The sequence below is a fragment of the Homo sapiens genome, chromosome 10, assembly GCF_000001405.40.
Source record: "Homo sapiens chromosome 10, GRCh38.p14 Primary Assembly".
NCBI classification, from domain to species: Eukaryota; Metazoa; Chordata; class Mammalia; order Primates; family Hominidae; genus Homo; species Homo sapiens.
Window position 1 is genome coordinate 99,289,027 of NC_000010.11, and position 18,532 is coordinate 99,307,558.

General features: G+C 41.4%; 1 protein-coding gene across 1 annotated transcript in view, besides 2 other annotated features; it reads right to left on the minus strand.

Annotated features, from left to right (window-relative positions):
- HPSE2 (heparanase 2 (inactive)) overlaps window positions 1–18,532 on the minus strand; it is an 858,875-nt gene that overhangs the window by 831,950 nt on the left and 8,393 nt on the right. The gene's annotated exons all lie outside the window — the stretch shown is intronic.
- Window positions 8,078–8,577: an enhancer, noted in NCBI's record as "H3K4me1 hESC enhancer chr10:101056861-101057360 (GRCh37/hg19 assembly coordinates)". NCBI's record gives its function as "activates a minimal SCP1, AML or CMV promoter by ChIP-STARR-seq in naive H9 embryonic stem cells {active_cell/tissue: H9 hESC(naive)}" and the evidence as "EXISTENCE:reporter gene assay evidence [ECO:0000049][PMID:30033119]".
- Window positions 15,526–15,820: an enhancer, noted in NCBI's record as "tiled region #10329; HepG2 Activating DNase matched - State 5:Enh". NCBI's record gives its function as "activates a minimal TATA promoter and a strong SV40 promoter by Sharpr-MPRA in HepG2 cells {active_cell/tissue: HepG2}" and the evidence as "EXISTENCE:reporter gene assay evidence [ECO:0000049][PMID:27701403]".

Consider the following 18,532-nt stretch of genomic DNA (forward strand, 5'->3'; position numbering starts at 1 on the left):
TGTTTTACCAAGCCCCAAAAGATTTTTTCACATGGTAACATTCTGCGTCCCTGTAAGAAGTGACAAAAAATGGAGACTTGGGTCATAGGAGAGGCAATTTAAGAAGCATCAGGAGTGCCTAAAGATGGACTGAGAGGCAGCTGATGTTTGAAACCATCCACAGTGCAACAGATTGCAAAATTTCAGGTTGCGTAAATAAGGTAAAGTCTCTAAAAAATCTGTAGTACTTAAACTAAATCATAAATAGAAGATGAAACAATTTACGTGGCTGCAAAAAATATTATTTCTAATATTAGAACCCAAGAGTGTGTTAATGGAGACATCATCTGTTTTTTTTTTGGAACTTTCTTCTTCGTTTGGTTGTAGTAAATGTCCTATTCCTTTACTTTTCACATCCTACAATTACTGGTGGCAATTTTTAGCAATAAAAAATTGTTATCCATGATTTTTCTTTTTAGAATGCAGTTTATATTATTCTGATTGAGTCATCTTCTTGAAAGTTAATTAATTTTTTACTCAGTGCCAAGAGTATTTTAACATAGGGGGAATATCAGTGGAGTAAAAATATTATTTCATATAAAAGTTAAGGTTTTCCAATCACAGATGACTAGTTTTTTAAAGTAGTTATTTTCTTTTTCTTCAACTTATGGTGCCCTACTTGCAATGAAATGCCATTTTCTTTAAATTCTGACGTCTTGGCAAAGGGTTATTTTAACCGACACTCAAGTCAGAAGCTTATTTGTAATGTTCTTTCACTTCAGTTTACGGCAAATTAAATTATGGTTTCAGTTAAACAAAATTACATTAAAAACTGTACTGCTGAAATAAATAAATACCAGCTAACGAAAGGTTATATTATAACTAGAAGACAAGGGGAGCAGGAGGAGGACAGGGCAGTATAAATGAACTAAAACCTCATCTTTCACAGAAGGCACCCAATATCTAATATGCTAAAGAAGAAACTAAAAATGGTTGCTTCTGACAGAAGACTCAGAGGTAAGCAGGGGTTGGGCCAAGAACAGCTTCCCCTCCCCGCCCACTTATAGATCTATAAACCTATAGATTGTTTAAATTTTAAATTATGAAAATATATTTGATTAAAATTATTTTTTTTAACTTTACATCTTCATAAAATGATAAAGAGAGTAGGGGGCAGGGAAGAGAGTCGTCTTAAAGTTTTCTTTGCCTTTATTTGGGTTCAGGGCAGATATAATGGAGAAGTGAAAAAGCCAGAGTGAAAAAGCTTGGAGCTTCTAAAAGGCAGAACCCTGAGTATTTCATTCATCTCTGTGTCCCTAGTACCCAACACTATGCCTCATACCTTGTAAGAATTGTAAAAGGATTATTGAACAAGGTCTAAGTAAGGCTTCCTAATGATGTCAGTCATATCTTCCTACATTCCTTCCAGGAGGGCAAAGGGTGCCACTGAGCCCAACTGACAACAGAGCAACTCACTGTTAAGGGATCCATCTCTTTACTGGAGAGATGATCATGTGATTTACTAAGAAACAGCTATCAGTGGAGCGAAAAGCCTGAGGAAATTTTCCACCTCAGACCAGGTGGTTCTTATGTTTCTCTCTGATCACTGCTCCATTTATGGACTATTGGCCCATAGTGGGTTGGGGCACAGAGTTGTAAGGAATAAAACAGCTGGTTTCTAGTTATGAACCTCCCACAAATTAGCTGTGTGGAGAACAACAATTTCTCCAAGCCTCAGTTTAATGGTAACAGAAGCTTATACCAAATAATCTCAAAGGTCTAATTCAACTTTAACATTCTATGACCTTAGGTGACCCAGACAAATTATTGGAATGTGAGGTGTAGAACTTTCTTGAGCTGCTGGATCAACAGAGCTGAAGATTTCTGAGGATATTTGGAGGTGTCATCAATATTTCTAATCAAGAAAATTAAGTCCTAGGGATAGTCACTGACATTTAGAAATCATTCAAAAAGACTTTTTGGTCTGATATAAGTGAAAAGGGTAAAAATAATTGTTGAACAACGAAAAGTAATTTGAGCTAAAGTGAACCATGAAGAAGCCCCCTTCTTATGAGTATTCTGTCCCCAGAAAGAATACTGGGGAGGAAACAATTACAAGTAGGAGTAAAGGGTAAAAGAGTTTACAAGGTTGATGTCAGAATAACATGAATTAGCACACAAGGCCACAGGGGATGGATCAAAACCAATGGAGGTCCCATCCTGAATTTACAAGGGTCTGGTCTTCATTTGCTTCTCACTTCTGCCCTCTCTGATTAGTGGCTAAAGAATCACCACATGGGCCAGATGCGGTGGCTCACGCCTGTAATCCCAGCACTTTGGGAGGCCAAGGCGGGCAGATCACGAGGTTAAGAGATCAAGACCATCCTGGCCAACATGATGAAACCCCATCTCTACTAAAAATACAAAAATTAGCTGGGTATGGTGGCACTTGCCTGTAGTCCCATCTACTTGGGAGACTGAGGCAGGAGAATCACTTGAATCCAGGAGGTGGAGGTTGCAGTGAGCCGAGATCGCGCCACTGCACTCCAGCCTGGTGACAAAGCAAGACTCCATCTGAAAAAAAAAAAAAAAAAAAGAATCACCATATGTTAGTGCCAGAAGAGACCATGGAAATCAACCTTTTGGCATCCTATCTCGTTTTTTCTTTCTGATGAAGATCCATGAAGCCTCGAGAGAAGAGATTTTCGAAAACTACATTCCTAGTAAGTGATAGGGCTAGGCCCATCACCCAGACAAACTCAGATCTTCAGATCTAGGTTTGCATACTTTTTCTTCCTTGGCTCACATTCTCTCTCTTGTTCTCACTCCCATTTAGTTATTTAGTTATAAAAGATAATGGCCTATAGTGGGTTCCAAACTGTCGAGTAAATCACACTGTAGTGAGCCCCACTGAGAAAGGCCTGCACAGGTGTCTGGGCAGAGACAGAGAAAAGCCAGATTCTTCCATTCAGTTTTTGGCAAGCTCCATTCCCCTCCAGTTAAATTTAAATGAATTTTTAAGAATGAACAAAAAACTAGAAACCAGAGGGGGCCAAATAAATGGCTTTTGAATAAATAAATAAAAGGTTGTAAGGGCCTACATATCCTGTTGGTTTGAAAATGTCCAAAAAGTAGAAGAGTATGAAGGGAGGGGAAGAAAGGGGAGAGGAGCAAGTAGCCAGACACATCACATGGAAAATGTTTGAAAACAGGCTGGGAACTGGCTAAAAGCAGAGTAAGTAAATAGTTGGGAAGTTGGCTGGAAATTTGCACCAGAAAGCATTCTTATTTATTCATTCATCAAATAAATATGTTCTGAATGTCTACTAGTGTATAACACTCTTCTAAGCCCAGAAGGAAGTACTCAAAACATTAAAATGCACTCTGAGTCATGAGAAGTTTGTAATTTAGTTGGAGGGAGGACATATGATTGAACAAGCATTCAGGGAGTGCTTACCACATGCTCGGCACTGTGGTAGGTGCTAGGTATTATAGACATGAATGAGACAGCCTCTGCACTCATGGAACTCACATTCTAGAGCAGTGTTGTCCATCAGAAAAATAATGAGAACCACAAATATGAGCCACACATATATTTTAAAATTCACTAACAGCTATATTTTAAAAGGTTAAATAAATGGATATGTTAATTTTAATAATATATTTTATTTAACCAAACATATCTGAAATATTATTTCAACATGTAATTAATATAAAAATGAGATATTTTACATTTTACATTCTTTTTTTCGTACTAAGTCTAAAATCCACTGTGTATTTGCACATCTCAATTTGCTCTAGCCACATTTCCAGTGCTCACAAACCACATGTGAGCTACCTTATTGGATGGTACAGATCTAGAGTAATACTTCTCAAACTTCTTTTGATAAACATAAATATTACATTTGTCTGAAGTTTTTGATATACACCTTCTCTGCTCCCGCCTCCCCAAACCCTTCCTTGTTCAAGCAGAAATTCTCTATTTTCGCCTCTCCCTTCCTACCCAGTTGATAATCTCTACTTTGCTGGCTAAAGCAGGGGGCCAAAAGTTCTATGGTTTTCCAGGGTATAAATGACCCTCTTCACCTGTAAGATCTGATACTTAGCTACCCATACCCCACATACCACTCACACATACATCTATCTGAAAATTGTCATAAAATCTTAACATCACACAAATATAAAATAAAATAGTAACATGGGAAGTAAACAGCAAAAAGGAAAAAAAAAGGAAGCTATATAAGTTGATTCAAAAAGTAGTGCCTGATCATATAGCAAATGGTATAAGTTAGAACTGAGAAACATTGGATAGGCCAGAACAGTCAGGGAAGCCTTTATTGAGAGAATGGGATTTGAACTGTATCTTGAAAAATGAATAATGCACATTGAAATAAAACATAAAATACTTTGCCTTTGTCATATAAAAATAAGAATTTGAAAACTTGGGCCATTCATCACTTAAAATGCATTTTTAAAAATTTCTGAGAAGATTGTGTACCCAGTTCTAGGATAACTTTTACAGAAAGGGATAAGAACATTTTGTTCTTCCTATAAAAATGGATAGGTTGGTAGATTAAGGGTCATGATCAAGTGAAACATAACTGATTTTTACAGCTGCCAGTTTTAAAAGAAAACAGACACTGGCGAAGCTTTTCTTAATCTTTAAACAGTTTTAAAAAGTATATAGTGACAAAAGAGTAACTAAAAAATTAATCAAGAAAACAGAACATTATACTTTAATCAATAATATAACAATTACGAGTTTTCAAAATTTCAGCCCAGATTATAGTCAATTACAAGAGACAGAAAATAGAGGAAAATATGTGCAGGGCATGGCCTACAGAGAAAGGTATAAATGTCTTATTCTCTCAGTCCAAACCCAAATTATTCCTATAACTTCCCAAGTCTATCAGACAAAATCCTTGTCCAAATGCCTGGACAAATTCTTGTCCAGGTCCAGCACTGATGGACAAGGCTAACATCTTAAACTCCAAACCAGATTCAGGTTTCCTCCTCAGTCTTCACCTGCTACTAAACCTACTTAGGGCATGAATGACCCTTCCTCAAGATATTTATCTCAGGTGAATGCGGCAGTAGTGTCTGACCAGTGGATTATGTTCTAAAAATTTATATCTAATAAGATTGCACCTAAATTAACACATCTTAACACTCAAAATAGGATGGTGGTAAAGAGTGCAGACTTGAGCATTAGACCACCAGGGTTTCGATAATCCCCACTCTTATGAAGATACATATTCTAATTTATATGTACACATATATATATAGAGACAGAGAGAGAGATGAGCTGTGCTATATGTTTATGTATTTATATATTATATGTAAATTTTTATATATTATATAGTATATAATACATACATATATAATATATAATATATAAATATATAATATATACATATAATATATAATATATACATATAATATATTAACATATATAATAATATATAATATATTTATATATAAATACATATTATATATATGTTGCTGCGCTATATTTATTATACTTTACCAACAGCATTCACAGGACAGAGCAATACTCATTCTAAGACATTGTAAGTGGGACTGGCAAGTTGTAAATTAGCAATCTACTGGGAGAGATATTTCAAGAGCTTTAAAAAAGTACACTTTGGCCGGGCGTGATGACTCACACCTGTAATCTCAGCACTTTGGGAGGCCGAGGCCGGTAGATCATCTGAGGTCAGGAGTTTGAGACCAGCCTGGCCAACATAGTGCAACCCTGTCTCTACTAAAAATACAAAAAAAATCAGCTAATAAAAATACAAAAAATCAGGCGTGTACCACCACGCCTGTAATCCCAGCTACTCAGGAGGCTGAGGCAGGGGCATTGTTTGAACCTGGTAAGTGGAGGTTGCAGTGAGTCGAGATGGCGCCACTGCACTCCAGCCTGGGCAACAGAGTGAGACTCAGTCTCAAAACACACACACATTTTCACTCAGTAGTTCTACTCTCTGAAGTCTGAAGTAACTATAGCCTCGCAAAAATCTATAAAAACAGAGATGTTCATAATAGCATAATCTGTTAGATGAGAAATGAATTTAAGCTAAATACTTATCAGTGGAAAATTAACAGTAATAATAGCCTTTCATAAATAGCATTTACTTTGTATCAGGCAATATTCTAAGAGGTTTTCATGTGTTGACTCATTTAATCCTTTCAACAGACGAGTACTATATTCTCAATTTTAAAATAGAGAAATTGACGTACCCAAATTAAGATGTCCAAAGTCATACAGATAAAAGGTGGTAGAACCAGGAAATAATCCAAAGTCTGTGTTCTCAACAACCATAAAATACTGCCTCTCAGGAGAATGAATTATGGTATGTCCACACAATAGACTACTAAATAACCACTGATTTGGGTTTATGAATTATGTATTCAAACTTTGGAAATGCTTATGTTGTAATGTTAAGTGAAAAAAAGCAAGATAAAATCATACATAAACACACTCACAGTTATTATTCCAACTAAGTAAAACAAGACTGAATTAAAGATGTTTTTTTCTTTCTTCCCTATATTTTCTAAAATCTTTGTAATACTGTATTTAACTTTTTTATACAAGAGGCAACTGGAAAGTACAGCCATACTTTTGCTGATGAGAGAATAGATCTCAACGATACACTTTGTTTTCAAAAACTTATTTACGAAAAATAGCAAGGTTAGGCAGATAAAGATTATGCCTTTGGAATCAAAAAACTTATGCTGAAAAACCTGAAACACTCCACCCAAACCCTGTAAGGAAGATTTATCCTCATCTGTAGAATGGGGATATAAACAAACCCTACAATCACTGCAAAGATCAAATAAGATGGTTCAGGTGGAAACAAATTGGAAAGAAATTTGGTATTATTTCTCAGTCTGAAGTACAGGCCAGCATAACCTTTAGGTTATCATCTTAGACAACACTGCCTCCAAAAAGTGTCCCCTGACTGCCTAAATCTAGCTTCTTTAGCCTTGGCTTAGGAGCAATTACACCCCAAATGTGACGTATCACTTATCACACTGAGTATTGTCTGTTTAATCACTTTCTATTTGGGGGAACTTCAATAGCTATTTTGAAGTTTACAGCAAACTTTAAAAGCTTGCTCATATAGCCTTCCAAAAGACTTCTATTAAATACAGGCCTCTGAACATTTAGCTTTCCATGTAGGATGCAGTAGTCTGAAGCATGTAAACATTACCACTTACAATAACTGGAAAGGCTGGATATGAGATAGGAGGTGAGACTGGACTCCAGAGGCAGGGCTCAGATGCTGAACCAGATTGAGGACTAACTAAAACAGGGCCAGGGTGGAAGCAGCTTTCAATCAGATGCCCCCCCAACATGCCGTTTCAATTTATGTTTGCCATGAACACAGAGTTACTGCCCCTTTCTGCGGAAATGACTCAATGAGCCCAAATTTCTGCATCAACCACCCCTTAATCTACATGCAATTAAAAGTGGGCATAAATATGACTGCAAAACTGCCCTGAGCTGCTACTCTCTTGCCTACAGGGTATCCCTGCTCTGCAGGAGCAGTCACAGAGCTGTAACACTGTTTCTTTAATAATGCTGTTTTCTTCTATCACTGGCTTGCCCTTGAATTCTCTCTTGGGCAAAGCCAAGAACCCTCCTGGGCTGAGCTCCACTTTGGGGCTTGCCTGCCCTGCATCAGCTTGGTACCCAATGCAGGGTGAAGAAAGAAGATGGCTTCATGAGATATGGCAGTCGGAGATCTGGGAGCCACAGTCTGTAAGGTGGCAGTCGGCCAGTGACAGTCAGTAGGGCAGTAGTCAAGGACTGGCCAGGCGGCAGTCAGAGATCTGCCTGCTGGCAATCCACAGAGTGATGGTCAGCAGGAAAGTAATCATCTGGACAGCAGTTGGCAGGAAGGCAATCATCGATGGGAGGGCAGGAAGGCAGGACAGCAGTCAGTGGATGGCAATTGACGAGATGAGGAGCAGAGAGGGAGCAAAGCAGAGCTGTAATACTCTAACACCAACCAAGGGCTCTTTTCAGAGCTACATTTTCCCCGGCAAGCAGCAGAGCCCATCAGAAGAGCAAGCAGCCACAGTTCCACTACCTCGTGTAGGGCCTGCTTCTCCCCACCGCAGCCTGGTGGGTTACCTGTGCAGGCCCATCCCACTGCCACAGTTGAGCCTACTGGTGGAGTGGCCATAATGCAGTCTGCCTCATGTGACACCCGCCCCTCCTGCTGGCAGCCCGGTGGGTTACCACCCATGCAAGCCCTTCCCACTGCTGCAGTTGAACCAAGCCCATGCAAGTTGAGGTATCCTGGAGAGATCTTCACCAAGGTCCCACACTAAAAATCAGTCAGCGCCGTTTCCACTCTGGTGAAGAGGTGACTGTTCCTTCTGCCCACACTCCCATAGTATCAGGAGAACTAGGGAATAAAGTAACAGCCTTTGGCTAGGCAATTGCTTAGAAGTCCCTCATTGTTTGAATGCCAGAAAGCATGTCCTTGTCACCCCTTCTCCCACTCCTTTGTCTTCTGACTCCATTGTATTGTTCCATCAGTCATTTTATTTTCAGTCCTAAAATGGGTGCAGTCTTATGTTTGCTTTTAACTTTCTGTTAATTGTGTGTGGGTAATTATAACGAGACACTTGATTGTGAGAGACCCCTGTTTTGTTCACTCTAGGATGCCAGAGTCATGTCGTTCTGTGACCCCAACTTGGTCTTGGGTTCACTGCTGGCCACCCCCTGGGTGGCCCAGGGTTTTCAACACTTGGCGAGGGGACCCTTATTGGCTGCAATTTGGACACTCTGAATTTTCAGCATTGGTAATTTTGACCACCCTCCAGATGCTTTGGGGTATTTGGTGTTGACATTCCCTATAGTATTGTGGGTTATAGCCGCTCCCCCAGGCGAATGTTGGTCTTGCCTTTTTCTGCCCTAAAGTTTGAAGTATTATTTTCTTAATTGCCAATTCCAAGTGCTTTCCTGTGTGCTGTCTTATAACTGCTTTGCTCAAGCCCCTCTTGGTCAAAGGAAATGGGGAGTTCCTAGGCCCCTGGCCTGACAGAGCTACCTACAGCATTAGCCAAGTGGCCACCCAATATTCTTTTTCAGTGTCTCTGCTACTGGGTAGGTTCTCTGGCAAGTCAGAGCCTCTGAGGTCTCCACCTAGGCAACGCTGTCTACCCTTCCCTTCCTCCCTTACACAGTCACTATCTGTTTAGCCCATCTCTCTGCACAACCCTCACTCTCTGTGGAATTTTGGCTTAACAGCCACCTAACTGCCCATTTGAAGCTTGTAATCTACTTTTGTAACACCTTGCTATCAATAGAAAGTGGGAAATGAAAAGAGAAAAGTAAGTAGGCATTTACTAAACTTAGGCTAACTGAAACCCCTTGTAGTGACCCTTACTAGACATAGGGACAACAGCAAGCAACCCAAAAGCCTTGCCACTAAGGTGTCTTTTAGACAACTGGAGTTAGTTCACATTATCAGCCAAATTGAAAAAGAAAAAACTCATTTACTATGGCAATAAAGTTTGGGTTCAATAAAAATTAGCAAATCAACAAATCTGGCCTAGATATGGTTCTTTGTCATAATGATACTGTACAATTAGACTTGTTTTGTAAAAAGTAAAGAAAATGGGAAGAAGTTCCCTATGTATAGGCTTTTTTTTTTTCTTTTTTTTTTTTGAGACGGAGTCTCGCTCTGTCGCCAGGCTGGAGTGCAGTGGCATGATCTTGGCTCACTGCAACCTCTGCCTTCCGGGTTCGAGAGATTCTCCTGCCTTAGCCTCCTGAGTAGCTGGGACTACAGGCATGTGCCACCATGCCCAGCTAATTTTTGTATTTTTAGTAGAGATGGGGTTTCACCATGTTGGCCAGGATGGTCTCCATCTCTTGACCTTGTGATCTGCCTGCCTCGGCCTCCCAAAGTGCTGGGATAACAGGTGTGAGCCACTGTGCCCAGCCTATACAGGTTTTTATAGCTCTCTACCAGAATGCTAACTTAAGGGCTAGCTGTAGAATGTCTCTGGCTCCTGATACTCCCAGAGACCCAGAAGCTGCATCAGCTATCCTAGATGAACCCCTCCTAGTTGCTCCCCATAGGAGGTCTGTGCTCCCTCTTTGGAGCCTCCCCCCTCCCCTAGTTCTGAGAGGGGCCCCACTAGTTCTCTAGTGCAGAATTCTACTCCAAAGTCATCAGGAACCCCTCCCCCTCATCCAACACGCCCTGGTCCCTATTCCCCATTGCCTGAGGAAGTAAGCCGGACCAGTACTACTAGGAGTGGGGCCCCAGATCAGCCCCCTAAATTGAACTTGTGTCTACTGCAGGAGGCAGCTGATGGAGACGGAGAAACAATCAGAGAATATGTGCCTTTTCCCATGTTTGATTTGGCTTTCTGCAAGGAAAAATTTGGTTGGTTGGTTTTCAGAGGACCCAGGAAAGTTTATAGAGGAGTTTGTTAAGTTGACCATGTCTTTTGCTTTAACTTGGCATGGCATGCAGAAATTATCATCCACTTGTTGTACTGTACAGGAAAAGCAAAGAATTCAAGGTATTGCTCATGAACATGCAGATGGAGTGGCTGTGCATAATCCAGGCCATGCCATGTATCGTGTGGGAAGAGATGCAGCTCCAGATTTCGACCCTCAGTGGGATTACCAGAGAGGACCTCAAGATCTTGAATGCAGAAATCATATGTTAACTTGTTTAATAGATAGTATGAAGAAGTGTGCAGTCAAGCCAGTAAATTATGAAAAGGTGAGAGAAATAACTCAGAAGAAAGATTAAAATCCTGCTCTATTTCAGGGCTGTTTAGTTGAGGCACTCAGGAAATACACTATTACAGACCCAGACTCCCCAGAAGAGTGAGCTCTCCTGGGTGTGCATTGCGTTACTTAGTCTGCCTCTGACATTAGGAGGAAGCTATAAAAGGGAACAATGGGACCCCAAACCTCCATGAGTCAACTCTTAAACATTGCTTTTGGGGTTTACAATAATAGGGACAGGGCAGAGGGAGAGGCAAAAAAAAAAAAAAAGAATTGGCCAAAAAGCACAATTGTTAGAGGCTGCTGTGGGCCCCCTACTGCCTCAGGGTTACCCATGTCAAGGAAATGTCATGAGATCAGCATCTGGGATGTTCAGACAAGAGCCCCCCATTCAACAGCCTCTAGGTCAAAATCAGTGTGCCTTCTGTAATCAAGAACGCCACTGAAAGAAAGACTGCCACAGGCTTAAGAGGGAGTTTAAGACACCCAGACCCATAATGGCCAAGAAGGTAGAGGACTGATGAGGCCCAAGGTCCTCTACGGCTCCCACTGGACACCTTACAATCTCCATGGAAGAACCTCGGGTAACTCCTGATGGAACAGGCAAAAATACTGAGTTCTTATTGGATATAGGAGTAGCCTACTCAGATTTAACCCATTTCTTAGGGCCACTGTCTTCCTACTCTTGTACAGTAATGAGAATTGATGGCCATCCAAAAATTAGGAGATTCACTCACCCCCTTGGTTGTACCATGGGGTACCATGTTTTCCCACAGGTTCTTCCTCATGCCTGAGTGTTCTATCCCTCTCATGGGGAGACACTTACTTTCCCAATTACAGGCCACAGTTCAGTTTGGGATGCCTCATGAGAAGGCCAACAGGCCAGGAAGGGACACTTCTCCTAACTTTAAGTGCTTTTCTTAACACAGATAAGAAGACCTCCCTTCCGTCACATATTGTTTCTCAAGTAGACCCCTCTGTTTGGGACACAGAAGTTCCCAGCAGAGCTGTTAATATACCCCCAGTTGAGGTTGTTTTAAAACCCAATGTTAATTATTCATGGAAAAAACAGTATCCTTTGAGACCCGAGGCTCAGAGTGGCATCCAGGCCCTAGTAACAAAGTTCCCAAAGTATGGATTATTACAATGCTGTCAGTCTCCATGTAACACCCCCATTTTACCTGTAAAAAAACCAAATGGGGAGTATAGATTTGTTCAGGATCTAAGGGCAGTTAATAAGGCAGTAGTCACAGTTCATTCAATAGTTCTTAATCCTTACAATATTGACCCAAGTCCCTGAAGATGCTTATTGGTTCATAGTGTTAGACTTAAAGGATGCTTTCTTTTTATATTCCTAGTATATTTTTGCTTTTGAATGAACTGATCCAAACACTCATGCTGCATCTCAGCTTACCTAGACAGTTCTTCCCCAAGGTTTTAGGGATAGTTCCCACCTCTGTGGCAATGATTTGGACAAAGAGTTAAGGGAACTACAGTAAACTAATGGGTCCCTCTTGCAATATGTAGATGACTTATTAGTTTCTAGCTCTACTAGGGAAGACTCTGACAGAGACACAATCCAGCTCTTTAATTTTCTGGGAAAGTGAGGGTATCAGGTATCCCCCCATATAGCCCAGATCTTTGCAAAAGGTTAAATATTGGGGGTATGTGCTTACTCCTGGGACAAGGACTTTGGTCCCAAGGACTTGCTCCTCCTTGCCTTCCACCATGATTGTGAGGCTTCCCAGCCACATGGAACTGTAAGTCCAATTAAACCTCTTTCCTTTGCAAATTGCCCAGTCTCAGGTATGCCTTTATCAGCAGTGTGAAAATGGACTAACACAGCATCCTAACTCAAAGGTTAGGGAATAGCTCCAGACCAGTGGCTTACTGTTCTAAACAGCTAGACCAGATGGCAGCAGGGTGGCCAGGTTGCTTGTGAGCCATGGCTGCCACCACTCTACTGGTAGAAGAAGCCAGAAAGTTTACCTTTGGACAACAATTAGATATCATGAGCCCCCACCAAGTACAGGAGGTCTTAGCAACAAAAGGACACCAATGGTTAACAGGAGCTCACTTACTTAAATACAAGGCCCTTCTGCTTGACACCCCAGATGTAACTCTTAACGTATGTAAAATTTTAAACCCTGCTACCTTGTTACCAAAGTTCATGTCCCAGGAAACAGATCCCCAACTCACTCATTCCTATGTGGAAACCACGGAATAGATCTACTCTAGCAGGCCTGACCTCAAAGATGAGCCCCTGCCTAATCCTGATGTTGAGTGGTTTACAGAGAAGAGTAGCTTTACACATGAGGGAGTAAAAAGGGTGGGTTATGCAGCAGTTAGCCAACAAGCAGTCACTAAGGCAAAAACATTGTCTCCCCAGACTTCCACTCAAAAAGCAGAACTAATTGCTTTATTAATCGGGGCCCTCCAATTAGGAAAAGACTTAAGAGTCAATATATATACTGACTCTAAATATGGGTTTCTGGTGCTCCATACTCATGCTGTTAAATGGAAAGAAAAGTGACTATTAACAGCTAAGGGATCCCCCATACAATATCACTTTGAGATCCTGGAACTTTTAGATGCTGTCCAGCTCCCAAAGGAGGTAGCAGTTATACACTATTCACTACTGGGGACGCCAAAAGGGAGAAATCTCTATTATCAAAGGAAATGCTCTGGCTGACAGAGCAGCTAAGACCACAGCTAAAGAACACCAGTATTACAGGCCACTGCACTAATGCCAGGTACTCCACCCATGTCAGCCACACGATATTATACCCATGAGGAAATTAATTGGGCAGAACAGAAAGGCTTACAAAAAGATCCCTCAGCATGGTTACTAGGAAGCAACAAACTTTTTCCTCCCAAGGCTGAGCAATGGAAGATAGTTAAGTATTTCCATGACTCCTCACCTTTGGGATGGGACTCCCTGTTCAAATTAGGTTTTCAAATCTTTTGGGGAAAGAAACTATTCCAGACTGTAAAGAGGGTCACCAAGGCCTATGAACTTTGTGCCTGTAATGGCCCAGGAAGACACCCCATAGCCCCACCTCTACTCAAATCTGTACAATATCGAGGGACATACCCTGGGGAGGACTGGCAACTAGATTTTACTCAGATGCCACTTTTCAGGGGACTAACATATTTGCTAGTATTTATAGACACTTTCATTAGGTGGACTGAAGCTTTCCCTACAAGGACAGAGAAGGCATTAAAAGTGTCCAGATTTTTACTTAAAGAGATCATCCCACGATTTGGATTACCTAAAAGTCTGCAGAGTGATAACAGATCCTCCTTCACAGCTAAAGTGACCCAGCAGGTTTCCTTAGCCTTAGGTATTACCTATCAACTTCACTCCTCCTGGAGACCTCAATCCTCAGGTAACGCAGCAAAAGCTCATATTTTAACAAGGATATTAGCAAAGTTCTGTCGGAAGATCTCAGAGGCCTGGGTTTCTCTCTTACCAACAGCCCTTTCATGTGTAAAGATGGCTCCAAAGGGAACTCTGAAACTTAGTCCATTTGAATTCACTCATGGAGACCCTTTTTAACTTCAGACCTCCTGCTTGATTAAGAGACACATAGAATGAGCACCCATATTATCAACTTAGGCCAGGTTCTGAAGGCCCTCCAAGCATATGGAAATAAAATATTGCCCCCTCCCCAAAGGGAAATAATTAACCTCCCTGTTCGACCAGGAAACTTAGTCCCGCTAAAAACTTGGAAAGAAGGATCCCCTGAAGATCATTTACAGTCAAAATGGAAGGGCCCCTATCAGGTGTTATTGAGTACCCACACTACTGTTAAACTTCAGGGAATAGCTAGTTGGGTACACCCGTCCAGGATTAAACATGTTTTGTATGAGTCGCAGGCACAAAAGGAGGACACCACAAACTACATATATGAGCCTTTGGAGGATCTCTGCTACTTGCTTAAAAGAATCAACACTCAGCCAGAAGTGGTAACATGATGCTGTGGGTAGGAAAAGGCACTTTAATTTTGCTCTTCTTCCTGCTCTGTTTTTTACCCCTCCTAGGATGTTTGATCACTATCTTTTCACTAATTTTTTGCCCTTGCTTGTTTAGCCTCTTAAAGTTAATGTATTCTAGATTACAACCGTTCCAGGTAAAACAATGCTGGCACAAGGCTTCCAACCCATCCCATCTACTGACCTGGAGAATAAAAGCATTCTGCCTCTGGGCCCCTTAGATTAGGCATCCAGAGATTTTTTACTACGGTTTGAGCCTATGCCCATAAGCTCAGCAGGAAGCAGTAACAGAAGATGGACCTCTGCCCTTCTGAAGCCTGTTTAAGATTAAGGAGGAGTATCTAATCTGATGCAGGACTCAGCTCCAGAGGTGAGACTTAGACATCAGGCCAGATTGAGGACTAACTAAAACAGGGCCAGAGCAAAAGCAACTTTCAATCAGACATGCCTACCAGCCTGCCATGGCAACACCCAGGAGTTACTGCCCCTTTCCATGGCAATGACCCAGTGAGCCAAAAGTTACTACTGCTTCCCTAGAAATTTCTGCATGAACTGCCCCTTAATCTGCATGCAATTAAAAGTGGGTATAAATATGACTGCAAAGCTGCCCTGAGCTGCTACTCTCTGCCTACAGGATAGCCCTGCTCTGCAGGAGCTTCACAGAGCTGTAACACTGCTTATTCAATAATGCTGTTTTCTTCTACCTCTGGCTTGCCCTTGAATTCTTTCCTGGGCAAAGCCAAGAACGCTTGTGGGCTAAGCTCCACTTTGGGGCTTGCCTGCCCTGCATCAGATACATTGTAAAAATCATACGTTTAAAGGTATCAAAGAGCTACAAAGGCAATAAGGAGTATCAGAAACAAAATTCCAGAGAGCAGAGAACCATTCATAGGTGATGTAAGGGTCTAAAGTGCTTTCAGGGCATTTGCCATTTCTGAGCAAATATTTGGGGTATGTGCTCACTCCTGGGACAAGGACTTTGGCTAGTGGCTGAGATCTGGAATTGGGCCAAGCACAGGAATGCTGCTTACAGACAGAAACGAATGAAACTTTTTATAGACACATGGGCAGGAGTGACAAAATAGAAGATTTAAGAAGCCTCAAACACAAGCTTCCTCCTCAAGGTATTTTCTGAATTTTTAAGATGAGTCAAAACTTTAGAAAAGCAGAATGGAATTTTCTAGAGTCTATGAATACTTACTATTTAGGAAACAAAGACTGGTTAGGGAAAAGAGCCTTGAATACAGCCATGGCAGGTGAAAGCCCTGGAGATTAATACTAACATCTGCTGTCACATTTGCCAATATGGGCACAGCTAGAGGCTGAGAATCCACACTTGTCAGAAGGCTGCTTCTGAAAAATAGAGAAACTGGTGGAGTTTTGGCAGTTGTACAGTTGTACCAAAATTGGAGACTTGACAGACTTTAAACCAGCAGCCTCTCTAGTCCCAATAAATCTGTGATATTTTGAAGCTTCATGGGGTGGAAGGCTAAAGAGCTAATCCAAAACCTCTGTAAAGTGGAGTGAAAATTTCCACAGAGCCTTGGTTCTAAACAAAGGACCCCAGGCTCTCAATGAAAAGCCATGAAGTACCACTTCCTAGGAACAGGGAAACAAAAGTGGACTAGTCTGACCAAAATTGCAAACCAGACTTGACCTAAATAAGTGCATAAACTGGATTAAGGTGTTCAGATCCCCATTCTATTTTCTTAGACTAGGAAAGGGTGAATCTTAATTTTAAAAATAAGTGTTTAAAAGGAAGGAAGGAAAAAACAAAGGAAGGAAGGGTTGATGGGTAAATCACCTCTGGTGGAAGAAACCATCTTCTGAAGCCTTGAGAGTTGGGGTGTTATTATTTTAACATAATACATCTTACATGGCTGATAACCAATAAAAGCAGACCCATAGGTCATACAGATATTGGAGTTAGCAGACCAGGACTTTAAAATACCTATGACTTATATATATGAATATATATTCAAATAAAGGAAAAGACAGACAGTAGAAATGAAAAGATACAAAATTTCAACAGAGAAATGGAATTTATAGAAAGAATCAAATGGACATTCTGACTCAAACTAAATATCTGACATTAATAACTCAATGGATGTGTGTAAAAATAGATTGACCTAACAGAAGACAGGATAGTAAACTCAAAAGAAATCAATAGAAAATATCCAAACTCACACACACGCGCGCGCGCGCGCGCGCACACACACACACACACACACACACACACACACACCAGACTGCTGGGGAGTAGGAGAGAACAAAGGAAGAGAGAAGAAAAAAAATGAAGAAGACACAGACAGAGAGGGAAAACAGTGCTAGAGACTTATGGGACATGGGCAAAATATCTAATATACATGTATTTAGAATTCCAGAAGAGCAGAGAGGAAATGGAACACCAGCAGTATTTGAGGAGATATGTTGGAGGATTTTCTAAAAGTGATGAAAGATCCACTGTAATTGTTTGATTCCATTTTTTGGCAGCTTTCAAGCCCTCCTCCTCCATTTTACCCTCTTGACCCATATCTGGACAAGCCAATAAGACAGCCTGCATGCTCTCTCCTTTGGCACTGGCAAGAAGTTCAAACCACGTAAGCCCTGGCCAATGTGCACTTACTCCAGCTCCACCCTCTATCCACAATAAAAGCTAAAGCCAGTCTCTCCTCCTTGCTCTCTCAAGCCATTTTGGGGGTCTGCTTTGCAACCTGCCCTGTTACCCCCCAAAAAAACCTCATTATGTGAATAATATATCTTTTTATGCCCTCTTGGTGTATGTGTGGCATCATTAGTCCCAACATATGAATGAAATGTTGGGTGGAGTGTGTTGATCCTGACCTCCACAGGGCAACCATAAGACAACTGGTACTGTGAGCAAGATGTTGAGACAATGATCATCGCCATGGGGATCTTTCTTCACTTGTTTTTTTGTTTGTTTGTTTTTTGTTTTTAAGACAGAGTTTCGCTCTTGTTGCCCAGGCTGGAGTACAATGGCGCGATCTCGGCTCACTGCAACCTCCACCTCCCAGGTTCAAGTGATTCTCCTGCCTCAGCCTTCCCGAGTAGCTGGGATTACAGGCATGCGGCACCATGCCCAGCTAATTTTGTATTTTTAGTAGAGACGGGGTTTCTCCCTGTTGGTCAGGCTGGTCTCGAACGCCCGACCTCAGGTGATCCGCCCGCCTCAGCCTCCCAAAGTGCTGGGATTACAGGTGTGAGCCACCATGCCTGGCCTTTCTTTACTTGTTTTAGCCTGCTAACTGGCTTTGCTGATTGCTAGTAAGAATATACTTTAAGTTGCTGCCTGCTGGCAAGTGAACTCTTTGAGCTATGCTGCTGCCTGCTGGAGAGTTTGCAGTTGGAGCTGTGCTGCTTTGTGCTCCATTTACTGACTCCTGTTTGAAATTTAACAGACCTACATTGGAAGTTTCAATAGCTGGCACTTAGAAACAGGAGTATTGGAGTGGATCCCTCCTTAAAATGGCCCTGGGTCATATGTCTCGACCAGGATTTATCTGTGTGTTTTATATTAAATCGTATGTCTCAATTCCAGCATAAGCTATAACACTAGACTTAGGGGAATGACTCTTACCCTGTGACTATTGATTGTGCACCTCAATCAGATGGTAGCCCCTGTTTTATAGAACACTCAGAGAGAAGACCAATACACTGTGTGATACATGGCCCATCACTCATGTGGAGGAGAAGTAGACACCAAGTGGCGTGCTGAAGTCCACTCCTCCAGGAACATATGGCTCAACAACACCCTATGCCTTAAACACT